Here is an 18,525-nt window from a genome sequence, read left to right as displayed (position 1 = left end):
GAGCTGAGATCACGCCACTGTACTACAGCCTGGGTGACAGGGTGAGCCTCCGCCTCAAAAAAAAAAAAGAAGGTTGAATATTGGCCCCCACTATCTTCTGGCTTGCAGGGTTTCTGCTAAGAGATCCACTGTTAGTTTGACAGGCTTCCCTTTGTGGGTAACCTGACCTTTCTCTCTGGCTGCCCTTAACATTTTTTCCTCCATTTCAACCTTGGTGAATCTGACGATTGTGTGTCTTGGGGTTGCTCTTCTCGAGGAGTATCTTTGTGGTGTTCTCTGTATTTCCTGAATTTGAATGTTGGTCTGTCTTGCTAAGTTGGGGAAGTTCTCCTGGATAATATCCTGAAGAGTGTTTTCCAACTTGGTTCCATTCTCCCCATCACTGAGGTTAGGTCTTTTCACATAGTCCCATATTTCTTGGAGGCTTTGTTCATTCCTTTTCATTCTTTTTTTTCTAATCTTGTCTTCATGCTTTATTTCATTTAGTTGATCTTATACCAGATATATTTCGAACCCCTTCCTTTTATTAACTCTGTTAATCCCCGTATTTGTTTTACCTCTTTGAACTCTTCTCATTCATCAAAGACTGAACTCAAAGCTCCTCTCTACTTTGAAGCCTTCCCTGACTAATAATTTGGTATTTAACTAATCATACAAGGTTTTGCAACACCACTTGAATTATTGTTCGGTGTTATTTCTCTTTCCATTGGTGTAAACCCTGTCTCTCCAACTATAGTGTCCATTTCTTAAGATCAGCAACCTCATTTTATACTGTTTGATGCTATTCTTATCTTCCAGAGTGTCTGTCTTTACTCTCTGCAGGTGTATAAACCTGCAGCATCCCTCCGGAAAAAGCCTCTAGTTTCTTGCCCTGTCTTGTCTCATACTAGTTTGCCAGCCTGCTCTTTGTCTCCTTGCTCTTGACTTGTTGACCAGTCTTCTTTCTGTAGTCTTTCCCTCTGGACTAGACAGATGCCTACTTTTGCTTCTTTGGTGCTGCCCTTGCCTCTACTTCTCAGCAAGAGTCTGCACTTGTTCCTCAGATCACATTTCTACTGGCTCCTGCACATCTCCTGAGATCTTTCCTCAACTTTCCTTTGAGTTGTGGGAAGGGTAAAACAGACACAAGGCTCTGATTATTGTAGACCTTGTATACATGTCTGTAAAATTATAGCTTCAAAGTCCTTTGAGTCATATTGTTTCCAGTGATTCGAAATCATTTATACTTGATTGTGTTGCTTAAAAAATCAGGCCGGGCACACACCTGTAATCCCAGGACTTTGGGAGGCCAAGGCAGGAGGATCACTTGAGCCTAGGAGTTCCAAAACCAGCCTGAGCAACACAGTGAGAACGTATCTCCACACACACACAAAAAAAAGTTTAAAATTAATTGACCAGCCATGGTGGCACATGCCAGTAGTCCCAGACACACAGGAAGCTGAGGTGGGAGGACTGCTTGAGCCCAGGAGGTTGAGGCTGCAGTGACCCATGATCGCGTCACTGCGCTCCAGTCCTGGTGACAGAGCAAGAGCCTGTCTCAAAAAAAAAAAAAAAGTTAAATGCTCTGAAGAGCCTCTTCTGTGTTCCACTCTCTTTGCATGTCTTAAGAACATTAAGATAATTTGTGAAAAATATCTAAACACTTTGTTTTCATTGTCTTGCATGTCATGCAAATCTTTGCATAAAAAAACCTGAAAAGCCATCTCAATGTTGTTTGATTTGGCTAAATGAGTGGTACTGGACAGATTATTATGAAACAGATATTAACACCTCATGTCGTCATAACTAAAAAGTGTCAACTACAGATTATGGTGGAGTACTTTAAAACTATCCTTTTCTTAGCTCTGGCCCAATATCACAGCCTGATTTGTATTATAGTTAGATTAGATGTAGTCAAAAGGCTTTTGAAAAAAGGTATTTGGGAACTAGCTAAAGCAGAGATATATTTTTCATTTGTCTTGTTTGTTTGTTTTGTTCCGTTTTGTTTTCAAGACACAGTCTTGCTCTGACATCGTTGCTTGAGTGCAGTGGCATGATCTTGGCTCACTACAACCTCCTGGGTTCAAGTGATTCTTATGCTTCAGCCACCCCAGTAGCTGGGACTACAGGCACATACCATCCCACCTGGCTAATTTTTATATTTTTAGTAGAGACGGGTTTTCACCATGTTGGCTAGGCTGGTCTCGAACTCCTGGCCTCAAATGATCCTCCCATCTTGGCTTCCCAAAGTGCTGGGATTACAGGCATTAGCCATTGTGCAGGGCCCATTTTTCTTTTTTTTTAAGCCTCCAGATCCCTTTATGAACACAAAAATCACAAACATTTTATTTTCTAACTGAAGCCAGAACAGGGAATACATGTGTTGAGTATTTGTGTGGTAAAGTCATTCATTTGTTACACTTAGGGTTTCATTTTGCCATTTCTCTAACCAGGGATGGGCCTGGATTCTACTAAGGTGCTAATGAATTTACAAAGCAATGGTTGTTCTCATTTTGAGTAAGTGGAATAAGGAAGATGGAATATGGAATCTTATGACTGAAGGTTAGTCCTAATGGAGTAATTTTGTTGTGTATTAAGATTCGCAAACAGGATATTTAGGTGAATACAGCAATGTACTTAATTCCATGTGACATCTGCTTTCAGCATCTCAGGTTTGGCTCTACCACAGACCATGGAGATGCTTTGTTGAAAAACACTGTCCTCTATTTTTTCCTAGCAACTCATTACGTATATATCATCTATACATTGATCTTAATATTCTTTGAAATTAGCTGGATGCAGTGGCTCACACCTGTAATCCCAACACTTTGGGAGGTCAAGACAGGAGGATTGCTGGAGCCCAGGAGTTTCAGACCAGCCTGGACAACATAGTGAGATGTTGTCTCTACCAAAAAATTAAAAAATTGTCTATTTAGTATATATTTAGTATATAAGCCATTTTAAAAGAAGCTTTAGGCCGGGCACGGTGGCTCGCGCCTGTAATCCCAGCACTTTGGGAGGCTGACGTGGGCAGATCATGAGGTCAGGAGTTCGAGACCAGACTGGCTGATATGGTGAAACCCTGTCTCTACTAAAAATACAAAAATTAGCCAGACGTGATGACATGTGCCTGTAATTCCAGCTACTCCAAAGGCTGAGGCAGGAGAATCGCTTGAACTTGGGAGGTGGAGGTTGCAGTGAGCTGAGATAGCGCCACTGCACTCCAGCCTGGGTGACAGAGCAAGACTCCATCTCAAAAAAAAAAAAAAGAGGTAAATGTTAGGATAACTAAAATTTACTACTCTATAGCATATATTGCCTTAAAGTGATGTTTTAAATGTCAACTTATGTTGTGCAATTTGGATTATATCTGTCTTTAGTGCACCACCCAGATAACTGCTTTTCTCTGCACATGTGCAGAAATGAAGTTCTTGTCATAGTAGACATAATAAACATTTGCTGAATGACCAGCACGCGTGAAATTAAGTAGAAATAAATACCTACCTTTACATTAAACTATAAAGGAGATAATTTATTATATTATGATAAGAAAGATTAAGTGAATATTAATTTTTAAGATAGCACATCCTGGTTTATTGACATTCACTGGCAAAATGAATTATTCAACATATGAATTTTTACTAAACACTGAATGTAGAATATATAACAATTTGGCACATAATTGGCATATTATAATGGCATATTACTGACATGACCTTATAAGGCAATGCTTTTATTTTTGGCCAAATTAGGATCCTGAAATTTGTTTCAATGTTTGCCTCTGTTTTGTACTTCTAGGCCGTTCAGTCGATTCTGGGAGTGAAGCACTGTTGCCACCTACTGTGAAGAGTGCGGTAATGATGATGACAAAGGAAAATGAACAGAGAGTAATAATAGAGTTTTAAATAAATTATGAAGTAAAAATTAAGCGGATCCATCCATACAAGTTACAGTACTCTTGAACTGAATTGCCAGTAAAAATAGTTACTGAATAGAATGAACCAGGTCTGCTAGGAGTCCTGTGAAGCCAGGCCTTTGGAGCTGTGGGAATTTTTTTTTTTTAATAGATGGGGTCTTACTATGTAGCCCAGGCTAGGCTCAAACTCTTGGGCTCAGTGATCCTCCCCTGTAGCTGAGACTACAAGAATGCACCACCATGCCTGGCTAAGGATCTATGGGCTTTTAAGATAGCCTTCCTTGAAGTTTTTGGTTTAGGGATTTTTTTATTTTTATTTTTTTTTGAGACAGGGTCTCGCTGTATGGCCCATGCTGGAGTGCAGCTGCGTGATCACAGTTCACTGCAGACTTGACCTCCTGCAGGTGATCTTCCCACCTCAGCCTCCAGAATAGCTAGGACCACAGGTATAGGTCACCATGCCTAGCTGAAGGTTTTTGGGTTTTTTTAAATACACACGTGTACACACAATTTCCTGAATTTGTACATTTTTTTCCCTTCAACTCTTTTCACCTAACCAATCAATTTTATTATCATTTCTGCTTATGTTTTACTTTCCCATATTACCTTTTTCATAAGCTGATTTCCAAAATGACTTTTTTCTAGATGGTCTATACATAGCTTCTCTCTCTCTTTTTTTCTTTCTAAAGATTCAAACTCCAATTTGTAACAATTTAGTTTGAGATAATAGTTCTCAATTACAATCAGAAGTATTCCCAACATCAAATTTGTTGGACTAACTACCTCAACTGGGCACTAAAATATAATTTCCAGTGGGTACAAAGCAAAATACCATTACTCTACACTTGGCCTCCACATGGAATTCCCCTTATTCCTATGTATTCTCTTCCATTAACTACTTTTATAAATCATTTTCTCCTTGCCTGAATATGAGTCACTGAGGGCAGTGATTACGTTATTTTCATGCCTCCCCTCTAATCAACCCTTGCCCCTACTGCTAGTATTTTGGACATGGTAGGTGCCCAATATTTACTAAATAAAGTGTGAAAAGCGTAATGCCTCTGAAAAAAATGATTTTATTCATCATGCAGGAGTGAGAGAGATAAAGTAACACAATGTAGGAAATAAAAAAGTAATAAATGTTATTAGATAACTGATCAGGTGCTCTTTGTTCCTTTCAGCCAACTTCTAGACAATGGTAGCAGGAATTGGAAGGCAAGAGGAATGGATAAGAGAAGTAAAGGACAGGTAATCACTCAAACATTGGGTTATTCAGTGTGTTTTAGTCATGTTAGGCTGCTATAACAAAGTACCACAGACTGGGTGTCTTATAAATAACAGCAATTTATTTCTCACAGTTCTGGAGGCTGGAAGTTGTAGATTGCTGTGTCAGCCTGGTCAGATTCTAGAGAGGACACTCTTTTGGTTGCAAACTGCTGACTTCTCATTGTGTCCTAACATGAAGTAAAGAGAGCAAGAGAGGTTTCTGGCCTCTTCTTATAAGGGCACTAATTCTATTCATGAGGATTCCACTCTCATGACCTAATTACCTCCCCCAAATCCCACTTTCAAATACTATCTTACTGGGAATTGGATTTCAACATGTGAGTGTTGGGGAGACACAAATCAGTGTTTAAGTATTCTAAGTAATGGGCTAATTGGTCTTGAAAGGGAGGACACAGAATTAAAAGCCACAGAGATCCTGATACTGTGCTCTTGGGAAGTTCCAACAATCACACAAGATAGGTTAGAAGAATATTAAGTGCTAACCAGTGCAATGTTGACCCATGTTCAATAAAAGTTTCAGAAACGTGAAAAACATGTAGATTGGGATCAACTGAGGAATATTTCTGGAGAAGATGGGCTGTTGAATGGATTCTTAAATTTCCAGATGTGAAAAATGAAAAGAGATAAAAGATGAAGATAGGTGAAAGAAGTAAGCATGCATTTTTGGAAAGTGAAATATCATAAAGCAAATAACAGAGATGGAAGACACTCCTATTTCTCCTTGAACTGATTTTCAAGTATGGTGTAGAGCACTCTATTACACTAGCTACTAGGCAGCCACATGTGGGTATTTGCATTTAAAATGAAATAAAATTAAAAATTAAGTTCCTCAGTTGCAATAGTTACATTTCAAGTGATCAACAGTCACATATGCCTGTTGGTATTTGTATTGAGCAATGCAAATATAAAACATATCCGGCCGGGCACGGTGGCTCATGCCTGTAATCCCAGCACTTTGGGAGGCCAAGGTGGGTGGATCCCAAGGCCAAGAGATCGAGACCATCCTGGCCAACCTGGTGAAAGCCCATCTCTACTAAAAATATAAAAAGTTAGCTGGGCATGGTGGTGCGTGCCTGTAGTGCCAGCTACTCGGGAGGCTGAGGCAGGAGAAGTGCTTGAATCCGGGAGGAAGAGGTTGCAGTGAGCTGAGATCGCACCACTGCCCTTCAGCCTGGCAACAGAGCAAGACTCCTTCTCAAAAAAAAAAAAAAAAAAACAAAAAAAAAACAAAGAACAAAAAACACATCCATCATCGCAAAAAAGTTCTATTGTACTATAGTGAGTGCTATTGAGTATTTACTATACAAAAAGCTCTCATAATCCCATTTAATTTTCACGGCAACCTTATAAAGTATATAGTAGTCAGGTGTGGTGGCTCATGCCTGTAATCCCAGCACTTTGGGAGGTTAAGGCGGGCAGATTGCTTGAGCCCAGGAATGCAAGACCAGCTGGACAACATAGTGAGACCCCATCTCTACAAAAAATACAAAAATTAGCCAGGCATGGTGGCATGTGCCTGTAGTCCCAGCTACTTGGAGGTCTGAGGTGGGGGGATCACTTAAGCCCCGGAGGTCAAAGCTGCAGTGAGCTGAGATCACACCACTGGGTGTGACAGAATGGGTGACAGAATAAGACTGTCTCAAAAGATAAATAAATAAATAAAGTATTTTTAAATTTAATATATTTTATTTATATTAAATGTTTTATATTTTGAGACTCTGTCTCCAAACACAAAATAAATAAATAAATAAATAATAACGTATATAGTTAAAGGGCCAGGCGCGGTGGCTCACGCCTGTAATCCCAGTACTTTAGAAGGCTGAGGCAGGTGGATCACCTGAGGTCAGGAGTTCAAGACCAGCCTGGCCAACATGGTGAAACCCTGTCTCTACTAAAAATACAAAAAGTTAGCTGGGCGTGGTGGCGGGCGCCTGTAATCCCAGCTACTCAGGAGGCTAAGGCAGGAGAATTGCTTGAACCCGGGAGGCAGAGGTTGCAGTGAGCTGAGATCACGCCATTGCACTCCAGCCTAGGTGACAAGAGCGAAACTCTGTCAAAAAAAAAAAAAAAAGAAAGAAAAGAAAGAAAACTGAAGTCCCTAAAACTTAAGTATTTGTTCAAACACAGCTGTGATTTGAAATTTTATGTGACTCCAAAAACGGAAGCTTTAAGCTATAGAAAATAAGCCTGTTAGATAGGGAAAAATGAGTCATTTACCAGAGACAGTGACACCCCAGCTTGACCTTTTTATGGCATGTAAAATCCAGTAGACTCTCAAGGAAGAGAACAAAATTACAAAAGTGGTATTTCAGGATATTAAGTAGACTGTTGTGTGCAGGGGTAGGCTAGCCCACATGATTTCTTTCGATGACTAGAAAAAAAGCCTCCCTGTCTAGGAAGGATGCAGCCTTATGGGTATTTAACTTAGTTAACAGAGCACGAAGTAGACTCCAGCCTCTTCTCACTCCCAAGTTTGGGCACTCTCTTTTAAAACGAAGAAATTGGAAGGCATGGAGGAAATGGAAGCCTGTGCTATAATGGAGGCAATGCCAAAAGAAAGAGAAAAAACAGCAAAAACAAAATTTGAAAAAAGAAATCCAAAAAATTAAAAATTTAATTAAAAAATTTTTAAAATGGCAAAATCAGAGCAAAGTCAGAGTTTATTCCAAGGTTTCCAGTATGCTGGTCTAACACACTGCGGCACTTATAATAGAAAAGTGATAGAAAGGGCTGGGTGTGGTAGTGCATGCCTGCAGTCCTAGCACTTTGGGAGGCCAAGGGGGGCAGATCACTTGAGCCTACGAGCTCAAGACCAGCCTGTCCAACATGGTGAAACCCTGTCTTTACTAAAAATACAAAAATTAGCTGGGCGTGATGGCATACGCCTGTAGTCCCAGCTACTTGGGAGGCTGAGGCAGGAGGATCACTTGAGCCAGGGAGGCAGAGGTTGCAGTGAGCCAAGATCGTGCCACTGCACTCCAGCCTGGGCAACGAGCAAGACTCCATCTCAAAAAAAACGAAAAGCAAAAAAAACCACACACACAAAAATTAGCAGGGCATGGTGGTGCATGCCTGTAGTGCCAGCTACTCAGGAGGCTGAGGTAGGAGCATCTCTTGAACTCGGGAGGTTGAGATTGCGGCGAGCTGAGATTGTGCCACACTGCACTCCAGCCTGGGTGACAGACTGAGATCCTGTCTTAAAAAAAAAAAAAAAAAGAGAGAGATAGAAGAAAGGGAGCTGATTTCTGGGTTCTAATCGGGCATGGAAGCTTAGAAGTCACCACTCCTATCCACACAAGGAAAACAACTGAACAAAGTAAAAATCAATAACTCTTTTTAGATCCATCAGAGAATGTAAGATACAATAAATCTTTCTGAGTTTCTCTTCAAGGGTTTAGCCTGTTAACTTCCTTATCCTTTGTTCTCAAACTCAGCTTTCTTGTTCTTCCTTGCCCCTAGTTACCGTAAACAGCCTACCCACTTCCCGTCAGCTCTAATCAATAACTCACATCTGTTCCCGTGTTACCTGTACCAATTGTTCCCCCAAAACTGCACATCCCACACGCTCCACCTCTGTACCTCACATCCCCCTCCCCTTCTATATTTAGGAAAATATGTACAAGTAGCCAATCGGGTCAGCTCAGATTGTGCAGTCTGACCTCAGCCCATGGAGGAGTGACACAGAGATAGGGACTGCATTAAGGATAAAAACCCCCTGGTCTCCTTTGTTCTCTGTGCTCCTGTGATCTTGATTGACCCAAGTGGCACCCTTCTGCAGAAGTAAATTGCCTTGCTGAGAGAATTAAACTTTTGCCTGAGTGCTGGTTTTACTTCACGGCACCAAGCGTTTATTTCTGGAGCATTTTATACCCAGTAGAGAGCTAAGGTCACAGGGCAAACTACTGCCCTCAAAATTGGAGAGATAGATAGATACAGAGGATCACAATTTATTGGAGGAAACCCACGAGCAGAAACGTCCTTGGGGACCAGTGGCTGGGGTAGGAAAACCTGAACTGCCACTGACAGATTGCTGGAGGCTCAGTGTAGACAAGTCTGAGAGTTAAAAACTCCATGGGGGCCTAGTTATTGGAGGGTCCCCACGGTTTTGTGAGTTTTACCTCCAGGAATTCAATCTGGTTCACAGTAAGAGAAATCACTGTGTGTTTCTGGAAGGGGGAGAGGAAAAGAAATTATTCTGAATAATCCCACAGAATTATGTTCTTAAAGAACATCCTCAAGAGAAACTATCTGACCCGAGCCTAAGCAATTAGGGTTTTACCAGAGCCTAACCTAGCTGGTGGAAGGGAAATTCTCAACTCTAGCTTCCCCTAAGCCTTCTTGTCTCACCAAAACTGGAGACTGGGGATGGGGAGGTAGGTAGGGGGAGAGGGACAGAAAGCACCTGTGTTTTTGTTGTGGTGGTGGTGGTTGTTTTGTTTTAGATAGGGTCTCACTGTGTCGCTCAGGCTGGAGTGTAGGTGGTGCGATCACGGCTCACTACAGCCCTCATCTCCCTAGCTCAAGCGATCATCACACCTCAGCTTCCCAAGTAGCTAGGACTGCAGGTGTGCACCACCATACCCAGCTTTTTTTTTTTTTTAATTTATTGTAGAGACAGGGTCTTGCTATGTTGCCCAGGCTGGTCTTGAACTCTTGAGCTCGAGTGATCCTCCCACCTCAGTCTCCCAAAGTGCTGAAATTACAGGCATGAGCCACCACACATGGCCAGAAAGCACTTGTGAAGTTCATAGCAGAGGCACAGGCTCACTAAAGAATTGAGACCTACTCTCAGACCTTATTTAAGTCTCAAGAACCCAAAGACAACAGAGGAGACAAAAACAAGGAAATCAGCCTTTGACACTTAATGCTATAGCAAGCAGTAAACACAGCCTAATCCCTAGCCAAATAAACATAAAACCTCATACTAAAGGCCTGTTTGCTTCAGTTCCTTTTACCCAGTAAATGTTGTCCTGTTTTCACAAAAAGACAACACTTAACAAAAGACAAAAAATGCAGTTTGAAAAGACAGAGCAAACATCAGAATCAGAATCAGGTATAGCAAGAATGTTATTAGAATATGTATAATAGAATTATCATACAAGGAATTTAAATTAACTATGATTGATATGTTAAGGGCTGTAATGGAAAAAAATCAACATTATGCAAGAACAGCTGGGTAGTGTAAGCAGAATGATAGAAACTCTAAGAAAGAATCAAAAGGAAATGCTAGAGATAAAAAACACTAACAGAAAGGAAGAATGTCTTTGATGGGCTCCATCAATAAACTTCAGAGACAAAGAATCTGAGCCTGAAAAAATGTCACAAGAAACTTCTAAAACTGAAAAAAAAAAAAAAAAAAACTTCTAAAACCGAAATGCACAGAGAAAAAAAGAAAAAATCAGATATCCAAAAATGGGAGGAGAATTACAAAAGATGTAACATATACATAACAGAAATACCAGAGGGAGAAGAAAAGAAGAAAATTTGAAGCAACAATGACTGAGAATTTCCCCAAATTAACGAAGGATACAAAACCACAGATCCAGGAAGCTCAGAGTACACTAAACAGTATAAATAACAAAAAATCTGCACCTAACCATAATCATGTTCAATCTGTAGAAAATTGAAGACAGAAAATCTTGAAAGAAGCAAAAAGGAGAAAAAAAAACCACAATTTGCCTACAGAGGAGTAAGGATAAGAATTACATTAGACTTCTCTTCAGAAATTGTGCAAGCAAGAGAAGAGAAAAGTGAAATATTTAAGGTATTGAAAGAAAAAAAAAAACCACTCACCTAGAATTCTGTATCCAGTGAAATTATCCTTCAACAGTGAGGGCGAAAGACTTTCTCAGGCAAACAAAATTTGAGGGAATTTGTCACCAGTAGACTTGCGTTGCAAGGAATTTTAAAAGTCCTTGAGAGAGAAAGAATATGATGCAGGTCAGAAACTTGGATCAACATTTTAAAAACGAAGAGCATTAGAGAAGGAATCAATAAAGGTAAACAGCCTGGGCAACATAGTGAGACCCTGTCTCTACAAAAAAAAAAAATGAGCTAGGGTCAGTGGTGCGTACCTGTAGTCCCAACTACTTTGGAGGCTGAGGCAGGAAGACTGCTTGAGTTCAGGAGTTTGAGGCTGCAATGAGGTATAATTGTGCCACTGCACTCCAGCCCAGGTGACACAGAGAGAGAGATGTTGTCTCCAGAAAAAAAAAAAAAAGATAAATAAAGGTAAATAAAATATTTTATTTTTCTTTTTCTTCTTCTTCTTCTTTTTTTTTTTTTGCTTCTTTTTGAGACAGGGTCTCCCTCTGTCATCCAGGCTGGGGTGCAGTGACATGATCATGGCTCACTACAGCCTTGACTGCCCTAGCTCAAGCAATCCTTCTGCCTCATCCTCCAAAGTAGCTGATGCTACAGGTGCATGCCACCAAGCCTCTAGATTTTTTTTTTTTTTTTTGTAAACTGGTTTTCAAATTCTTTGCACACCACAATTTTTAGACTGCCACTGAAATATTTTTTAATTGCCCAATTACTTCCTAAGATGAAGCAACAGTGAACAATTATTGTATCCTCGTTTCTAACACAGGGTCTGCTCCCGGTAACTATTAAAAATGTTGTTAATTACAAAAGATGAAAAAAAACTTTGTTAATTAGAGGAACTCACTGAGGAACTGAGTATATACATAGAAAAAAAATACCTATAGATCCTTGAGTATACTTGCTTTTAAACAGGAGGAATTAAAAGAGTCTTTTTAAAACACGAATGTGGCTGGGAGCGGTGGTTCACACCTGTAATCTCAGCACTTTCGGAGGCCGAGGCGGATAGATCACTTTGAGGTCAGGAGTTTGAGACCAGCCTGGACAACATGGTGAAACTCCATCTCTACCAAATATAGAAAAATTAGACAGGCATGGTGGCCCGCGCCTGTAGTCCCAGCTACATGGGAAGCTGAGGCAGAAGAATTGCTTGAACTTGGGAGGCAGAGGGTGCAGTGAGCCAAGATTGCGCCACTGCACTCCAGCCTGGGTGACAGAGCAAGAACTTGTCTCAATAATAATAATAATAATAATAATAATAATAATAATAATAATAAATAAAAATGAATGCTTTCCAAAGGCAAATCCTCAGCTTTCTGCTCTTTATAAAAAATTACTTCTTTTTTTTTTTTTGCAACAGGGTCTCACTCTTTCACCCAGGCTGCAGTGCAGTGGCACAATCATAGCTCACTGTAACCCTGAAATCCTGGGCTCAGGTGATCTTCCCACCTCTATTGGGAACAGGCCCCCAAAATCTGGCCATAAACTGGCCCCAAAACTGGCCATAAACAAAATCTCTGCAGCACTGTGACATGTTCATGATGGCCAAAATGACCACGCTGGAAGGTTGTGGGTTTACTGGAATGACAGCAAGGAACACCTGGCCCACCCAGGACGGAAAACTGCTTAAAGGCATTCTTAAGCCACAAACAATAGCATGAGCGATCTGTGCCTTAAGGACATGCTCCTGCTGCAGTTAACTAGCCCAACCTATTCCTTTAATTCAGCCCATCCCTTCGTTTCCCTTAAGGGATACTTTTAGTTAATTTAATATCTATAGAAACAATGCTAATGAGTGGCTTGCTGTTAATAAATAGGTGGGTAAATCTCTGTTCGGGGCTCTCACCTCTGAAGGCTGTGAGACCCTGATTTCCCACTTTACACTTCTATATTTCTATGTGTGTGTCTTTAATTCCTCTAGCACCACTGGGTTAGGGTCTCCCTGACCAAGCTGGTCTCGGCAAGTGGCATCCATTGTGGGGGGCTCGAATCCAGGTTGAAGGGTCGCCAGAGTGACAGTTGGAAAACATGGAACTAGCTGGAGGACACCCAAGTACTCTTAAAGCAATCCCCGTGGTGAGTAAGAAGGGGAGCTCGGAAGCGTCAGGGTAACAATGGGACAAGTGCGGGGTGTGGTTCGTTCCATCTTGGAACTTTTTCACGCTGATGATGAGGAGGAAGGAGAGTATAACGAAATAACAGAAGAGGTTACAGAGCAGGTTTGTTTGCCACCTAAAGCTAAAGCGGCAAAGCAGGGAGAGGTTCATCCCCACCCTTCTGCATCCCCTCCCTATTATTTTGAAGAAAATGACCCTCCAGATCTTTCTTTCCTGGAAGACACTGGGCGAAAAGTAGTTGCCCCAGTGACTGTTCGAGAAGTGCCTTAAGCGACTGCTCTCAGTTCTATTCAAGCAGGAATTTAGCAAGCTACACAAGAGGTTGATTTAGAGGCTTGGCATTTTGCTGTTAGAATACACCCCCCAGATCAACAGGGAAATATTATAGCTACATTTGAGCCTTTTCCTTTTAAATTACTAAAAAAATTTAAACAAGCTATTAATACTAAAAAAGGATATAGAAATAATCAGCGAGTCAGGCTGCCATATAGGGGATTCCAGAATGGCTCAGGCCATTCCCTCACCCCTGTACAATGTCTGTCCCCTGCCACAGCTGGTAGTGCCACGGTAGACTTATGCTGCACAAAAGCTGTGAGCCTTCTGCCTGGGGAATCCCTGCAAAAGGTTCCAACAGGAGTCTGTGGATCTTTGCCAATGGGGACAATAGGATTACTTTTAGGAAGGTCTAATTTAAGTTTAAAAGGGGTACAAATACATACAGGAGTCACTGATTCAGATTACAATGGGGAAATTCAAATTGTTATATTTACTTCTGTTCCCTGGAAAGCAGAGCCAGGAGAGTGCATAGCACAGCTCCTGATCGTGCCGTATGTGGGAATGGGAAAAAGTGAAATTAAACGAACAGGAGGATTTGGAAGCACAAATAAACAAGGCAAAGCAGCTTATTGGGTAAATCAAATTACTGATAAATGTCCTACCTGTGAAATAACTATTCAGGGAAAGAAATTTAAAGGTTTGGTAGATACAGAAGCGGACATTTCAATCATTTCTCTACAGCAGTGGCCGTCTGTGTGGCCAATTCAACCCGCTCAATTTAACATAGTTGGAGTTGGTAAAGCCCCTGAAGTATATCAAAGTAGTTATATTTTGCATTGTGAAGGGCCTGATGGACAACCTGGGACTATTCAACCAATTATAACTTCTGCACCTATAAATTTATGGGGAAGAGATTTGTTACAACAATGGGGAGCACAAGTTCTAATTCCAGAACAATTATATAGCCCTCGAAGTCAACATACAATGCATGAAATGGGGTATGTCCCTGGTATGGGACTAGAAAAAAAAAATTTGCAAGGTTTGCAAGAACTGCTTCAAGCAGAAAGACAAAATTCCTGCCAAAGATTAGGATATCATTTTTGATGGCCATTGTTAAGCCTCCAGAACCTATACCTTTAAAATGGTTAACAGATAAGCCAATTTGGATAGAACAATGGCCGCTAAGTAAAGAGAAACTGGAGGCTTTAGAGAAATTAGTTACTACACAATTAGAAAATGGGCACATAGCTCTAACATTTTCCCCTTGGAATTCTCCAGTTTTTGTAATTAAGAAAAAATCAGGTAAATGGAGAATGTTAACTGACTTAAGGGCCATCAATTCAGTTATACAACCTAAGGGAGCATTACAGCCAGGATTGCCTTCTCCTGCTATAATTCCAAAAAATTGGCCTCTAATAGTCATAGATTTAAAAGACTATTTCTTTACTATCCCTTTAGCTGAGCAAGACTGTGAACAGTTTGCATTTACAATTCCTGCAGTAAACAACCTGCAGCCTGCTAAGTGTTTTCCTTGTTTCACAGATGGGTCTAGTAATGGCAAAGCTTCTTATTCTGGATCAAAAGGTAAAGTTTTCCAGACGCCCTATACTTCAGCTTAAAAAGCGGAGCTTGTAGCTGTAATTGAGGTATGGACTGCTTTTAATATGCCTATTAATGTCATTTCTGCTGCTTCATACGTGGTTCATTCCACACAATTAATTAAAAATGCTGTTACTATTTCATACAGATAAACAACTAATGACAAAAACAAAAAAGGGGGAGAAATAGGGATTATGGGACAGCCCATACACAATTGAATCTAGCATTATTAACTTTAAATGTTTTGAGCCTGCCCAAAGAAGGCCAGATGTTATCAGCAGCTGAACAGCATCTACAGAAACCAGATGCAAAGACAGAAGCAGAACAACTGATTTGGTGGAGAGATCCGGTAACAAAAAGTTGGGAAATAGGTAAAATAATAACTTGGGGTAGAGGTTATGCTGTATTTCTCCAGGCCAAAATCAACAGCCGATTTGGATACCATCAAGACACCTGAAACCTTATCATTAGCCAGATGCCAAGGAAGAGATTCTGGGAGGATCCCAAGGACCCCCCCCCCCGGTTGCAGCCATGTTGAGACTGACACTGAGAAGGACCCCAACTGTCGTGAGCTATACCCATCAAACACAGCCACCCACCTGGGGACAGACCAAGAAGCTGTCACAGATGGCAGAAGAAAACCTGAGGAAAGCGGGACAACCAATCACAACGAGTAATTTAATGGTAGCTACCATAGCGGTGATCACCATTGCCATAAGTATTCCTTCAACAAGGGCTGCCGAGACCAGCTCGGTCGGGGAGAGCCTAACCTAGCGGCGCTAGAGGAATTAAAGACACACACATAGAAATATAGAGGTGTGAAGTGGGAAATCAGGGGTCTCACAGCCTTCAGAGCTGAGAGCCCCGAAGAGAGATTTACCCACGTATTTATTAACAGCAAGCCAGTCATTAGCATTGTTTCTACAGATATTAAATTAACTAAAAGTATCCCTTAAGGGAAACGAAGGGATGCGCCGAATTAAAGGAATAGGTTGGGCTAGTTAACTGCAGCAGGAGCATGTCCTTAAGGCACAGATCACTCATGCTATTGTTTGTGGCATAAGAAGGCCTTTAAGTGGTTTTCCACCCTGGAAGGGCCAGGGGTTCCTTGCCCTCATTCCAGTAAACCCACAACCTTCCAGCGTGGGCATTATGGCCATCACGAACATGTCACAGTGCTGCAGAGATTTTGTCTATGGCCAGTTTTGGCCATTCTCCTGAGGCAGGAGAATGGTGTGAACCCAGGAGGCGGAGCTTGCAGTGAGCCCAAATCGCGCCACTGCACTCCAGTCTGGGTAACAGAGTGAGACTCCATCTCAAAAAAAATTTTTTTTTACTATTCTGCTACCCAATATCCTTAAATAATTATTGAGTGCCTTAATCAAAATAAAAAATTCCCAGCTTGCCCTTTAAAATTCTTGTCAATCTGTTTCCTCTTATACCTAGTCAGCCTTGTTTTCCATTCCAACACTAAGTCTTAGACAAAAAGTCTTTATCTGTCCAAAAAATCTCTAAGTCTTTTTTTTTTTTCTTTTTTCGAGACAGAGTCTTGCTCTGTTGCCCAGGCTGGAGTGCAGTTGCCTGATCTTGGCTCACTGTAACCTCTGCCTCCTGGGCTCAAGTGATTCTCGTGCCTCAGCCTCCCAAGAAGTTGGCATTACAGGCTTGCGCCACCATGCCTGGCTAATTTTTGTATTTTTAGTAGAGACGGTTTTTCGCCATGTTAGCCAGTCTGGTCTTGAACTCCTGGCCTCAAGCAGTCTGCCCGCCTTGGCCTCCCAAAGTGCTGGGATTACATGCGTGAGCCACCATGCCCGGCCTCCCAATTTATCTTGAACATCCCTAGGTTCAACGTTCTATGAAAAACAGCCCCTTCTGCACGATTCCTTCTCATTTGTGCCCCGAACTTTATAAAATGCAACCACCTTTCTGAATGTGTATGAGCTCTCTATAGCATCAGGTCTTTATACTAGAGTTTGTAAAATGGTTTTGATTAATCTATTATTTAAAATGTTGGAGTAATTCTCAACATTTAAACATCATTGAAAAATTGCAAACTCTAGTAGGACCCACATTTCAATAAATGGCTGCAATTTACCAGTAGTTGACATCTTTAGATACGCACTGTTCAGTTAGAAAGTTACAGCTTCATTCGAAAAGCATTGAGCGTCTATTACTTGGGACACTGTTTTAGACGCTGGGGATATAGTAGTGACCAAAACTTATCAGGGAGTTTATAATCTAATGAGGAGGAGAGACAGGCAACATAATCATTACTACAGTTTTCTAAGAGGAACAGAGAATATGTGGGTGGGAAGGGTGCTTGGGCTTTTGCATTCATTTAAATACCTGGCTGGATGCTGTTGGAATTTGAGTTTATGACTCGTACTACCATCCGAATCGTCATACACCATCATGTACGTTATGCACTGCCCCTATAAAACTCTCAACAAGTCTAAGGCAGGGAGTGTGCCTCCTTCGCCTTTGGATTCCGGGGGCCCAGCAGTGTTTTTATGGAGGGGACACGATGGAAAGCGAAAAGTTAGGCGTAGTTACTTCGACCACCGCTGTCCCGGGTGGTTATTCTGACGGGGTTTGGACTGGGCGCCTGGGAGGGTGCAACACAATAATTGTTGAAGAGCAGTCAGGTCTTTCGCAGAATCTCAAAGCCACCTCCGCGCCGGCAGCTCCGTTTCTAGGGAAACAGGACTGTAACGCGTACGCGTCGTGGGTCCTCGTTCTCTAGCTACGAGTCCTGCCGCTCTGAAACAAACTAAATTCGTGACAAGAACTTGGCCCTCAGAGCCCGTCGTCCAACGCGAAAAACCACGGGTAACCGCGCCCCCTGCCGCGCCGCCGCTGGCACTGCAGCTTCCGGGGTCGTCCAGTTCCAGGCGGGACTACTTCCGGCTCCGAAGGTCCCCGGCTTCGTGGCTAGCCGGGGTCCTAGCGCTGGAAAGGTGGCCGTAGCGGCCGCCTGACCCCTACAAAAGTCTGGGACAGGGGCAGCGACAAAGGCCTTGGGAGGACGCCCATGGTCGGAGGGATCTCGCCCCGGGAGAAAAGTTGGGACAGGAGCGCGGGATCGAAGGGTGGACTCCGAGCCGGCCTGTCAGGCAAGAGCCGGGCAGGTGCGGTGGCGGAAGTGCAGGGACGGAGGCCGAAGCGGAGCGGTCTAGGGAGCCGCGGCCGCGGGTCACCCGGCGGGTAGCAGTTGCTGAGTGTCAGCTAGACAGCAGCGACTAGGGCTCGGGCGCCGGCGAGATGCCTTTGTTCACCGCCAACCCCTTCGAGCAAGACGTGGGTGAGTGCTGTGCCCGGTCCTGGACTGCTGTGTGCCTGGCCCTGGACTGCTGTTTGTCCGGCTAGAAAGTGGGCGGTAGCGACTCCGGGGACTAGGAAGCAAAGCGAAGGGAGGGGAGGGGCGGTGCCGCCCGCTCCTTCGACGTTGGGATTTTTCTGGGGCAACCTCGGCGCGTCGCTAGCGGTCTGGGGAGTGCTTCCTGCCGCCTGAGTTTGGGGACCCTCAAA

General features: G+C 42.4%; 1 protein-coding gene and 2 long non-coding RNA genes across 4 annotated transcripts in view, besides 3 other annotated features; 2 read left to right on the top strand and 1 right to left on the bottom strand.

Annotated features, from left to right (window-relative positions):
* Positions 1-3,213: 3,213 nt before the first annotated feature.
* LOC105373689 (uncharacterized) lies at positions 3,214-18,368 on the bottom strand. Of its 2 annotated transcripts, none has more exons than XR_923477.3 (3): positions 17,344-18,368; positions 10,976-11,096; positions 3,214-3,231 (listed from the first exon to the last, which is right to left on the bottom strand). It is a non-coding gene; the product is annotated as an uncharacterized LOC105373689 (long non-coding RNA). The 2 variants fall into 2 exon arrangements; XR_923476.3 differs by lacking the exon at positions 3,214-3,231 and adding an exon at positions 4,890-5,349.
* LOC105373688 (uncharacterized) lies at positions 13,183-15,041 on the top strand. The gene is made up of 2 exons (XR_923475.1): positions 13,183-13,221; positions 14,938-15,041. It is a non-coding gene; the product is annotated as an uncharacterized LOC105373688 (long non-coding RNA).
* Positions 17,677-18,200: an enhancer, noted in NCBI's record as "H3K27ac hESC enhancer chr2:153032215-153032738 (GRCh37/hg19 assembly coordinates)". NCBI's record gives its function as "activates a minimal SCP1, AML or CMV promoter by ChIP-STARR-seq in primed H9 embryonic stem cells {active_cell/tissue: H9 hESC(primed)}" and the evidence as "EXISTENCE:reporter gene assay evidence [ECO:0000049][PMID:30033119]".
* Positions 17,781-18,200: an enhancer, noted in NCBI's record as "active region_16647". NCBI's record gives its function as "activates an Ori minimal core promoter by ATAC-STARR-seq in GM12878 lymphoblastoid cells {active_cell/tissue: GM12878}" and the evidence as "EXISTENCE:reporter gene assay evidence [ECO:0000049][PMID:35858748]".
* Positions 18,138-18,525, top strand: part of STAM2 (signal transducing adaptor molecule 2) — a 58,963-nt gene continuing 58,575 nt past the window's right edge. Inside the window, exon 1 of the mRNA NM_005843.6 lies at positions 18,138-18,298. Coding sequence (NP_005834.4) covers positions 18,259-18,298 — 40 coding nt within the window. The 5' untranslated portion in view covers positions 18,138-18,258. The remainder of the gene's footprint in view (positions 18,299-18,525) is intronic.
* Positions 18,361-18,500: an enhancer, noted in NCBI's record as "active region_16646". NCBI's record gives its function as "activates an Ori minimal core promoter by ATAC-STARR-seq in GM12878 lymphoblastoid cells {active_cell/tissue: GM12878}" and the evidence as "EXISTENCE:reporter gene assay evidence [ECO:0000049][PMID:35858748]".

This window comes from Homo sapiens, chromosome 2 (assembly GCF_000001405.40).
Source record: "Homo sapiens chromosome 2, GRCh38.p14 Primary Assembly".
Taxonomy (NCBI): Eukaryota; Metazoa; Chordata; class Mammalia; order Primates; family Hominidae; genus Homo; species Homo sapiens.
The sequence above is the reverse complement of the archived record's forward strand: the minus strand, read 5'-3'. Positions and strand labels throughout refer to the sequence as shown.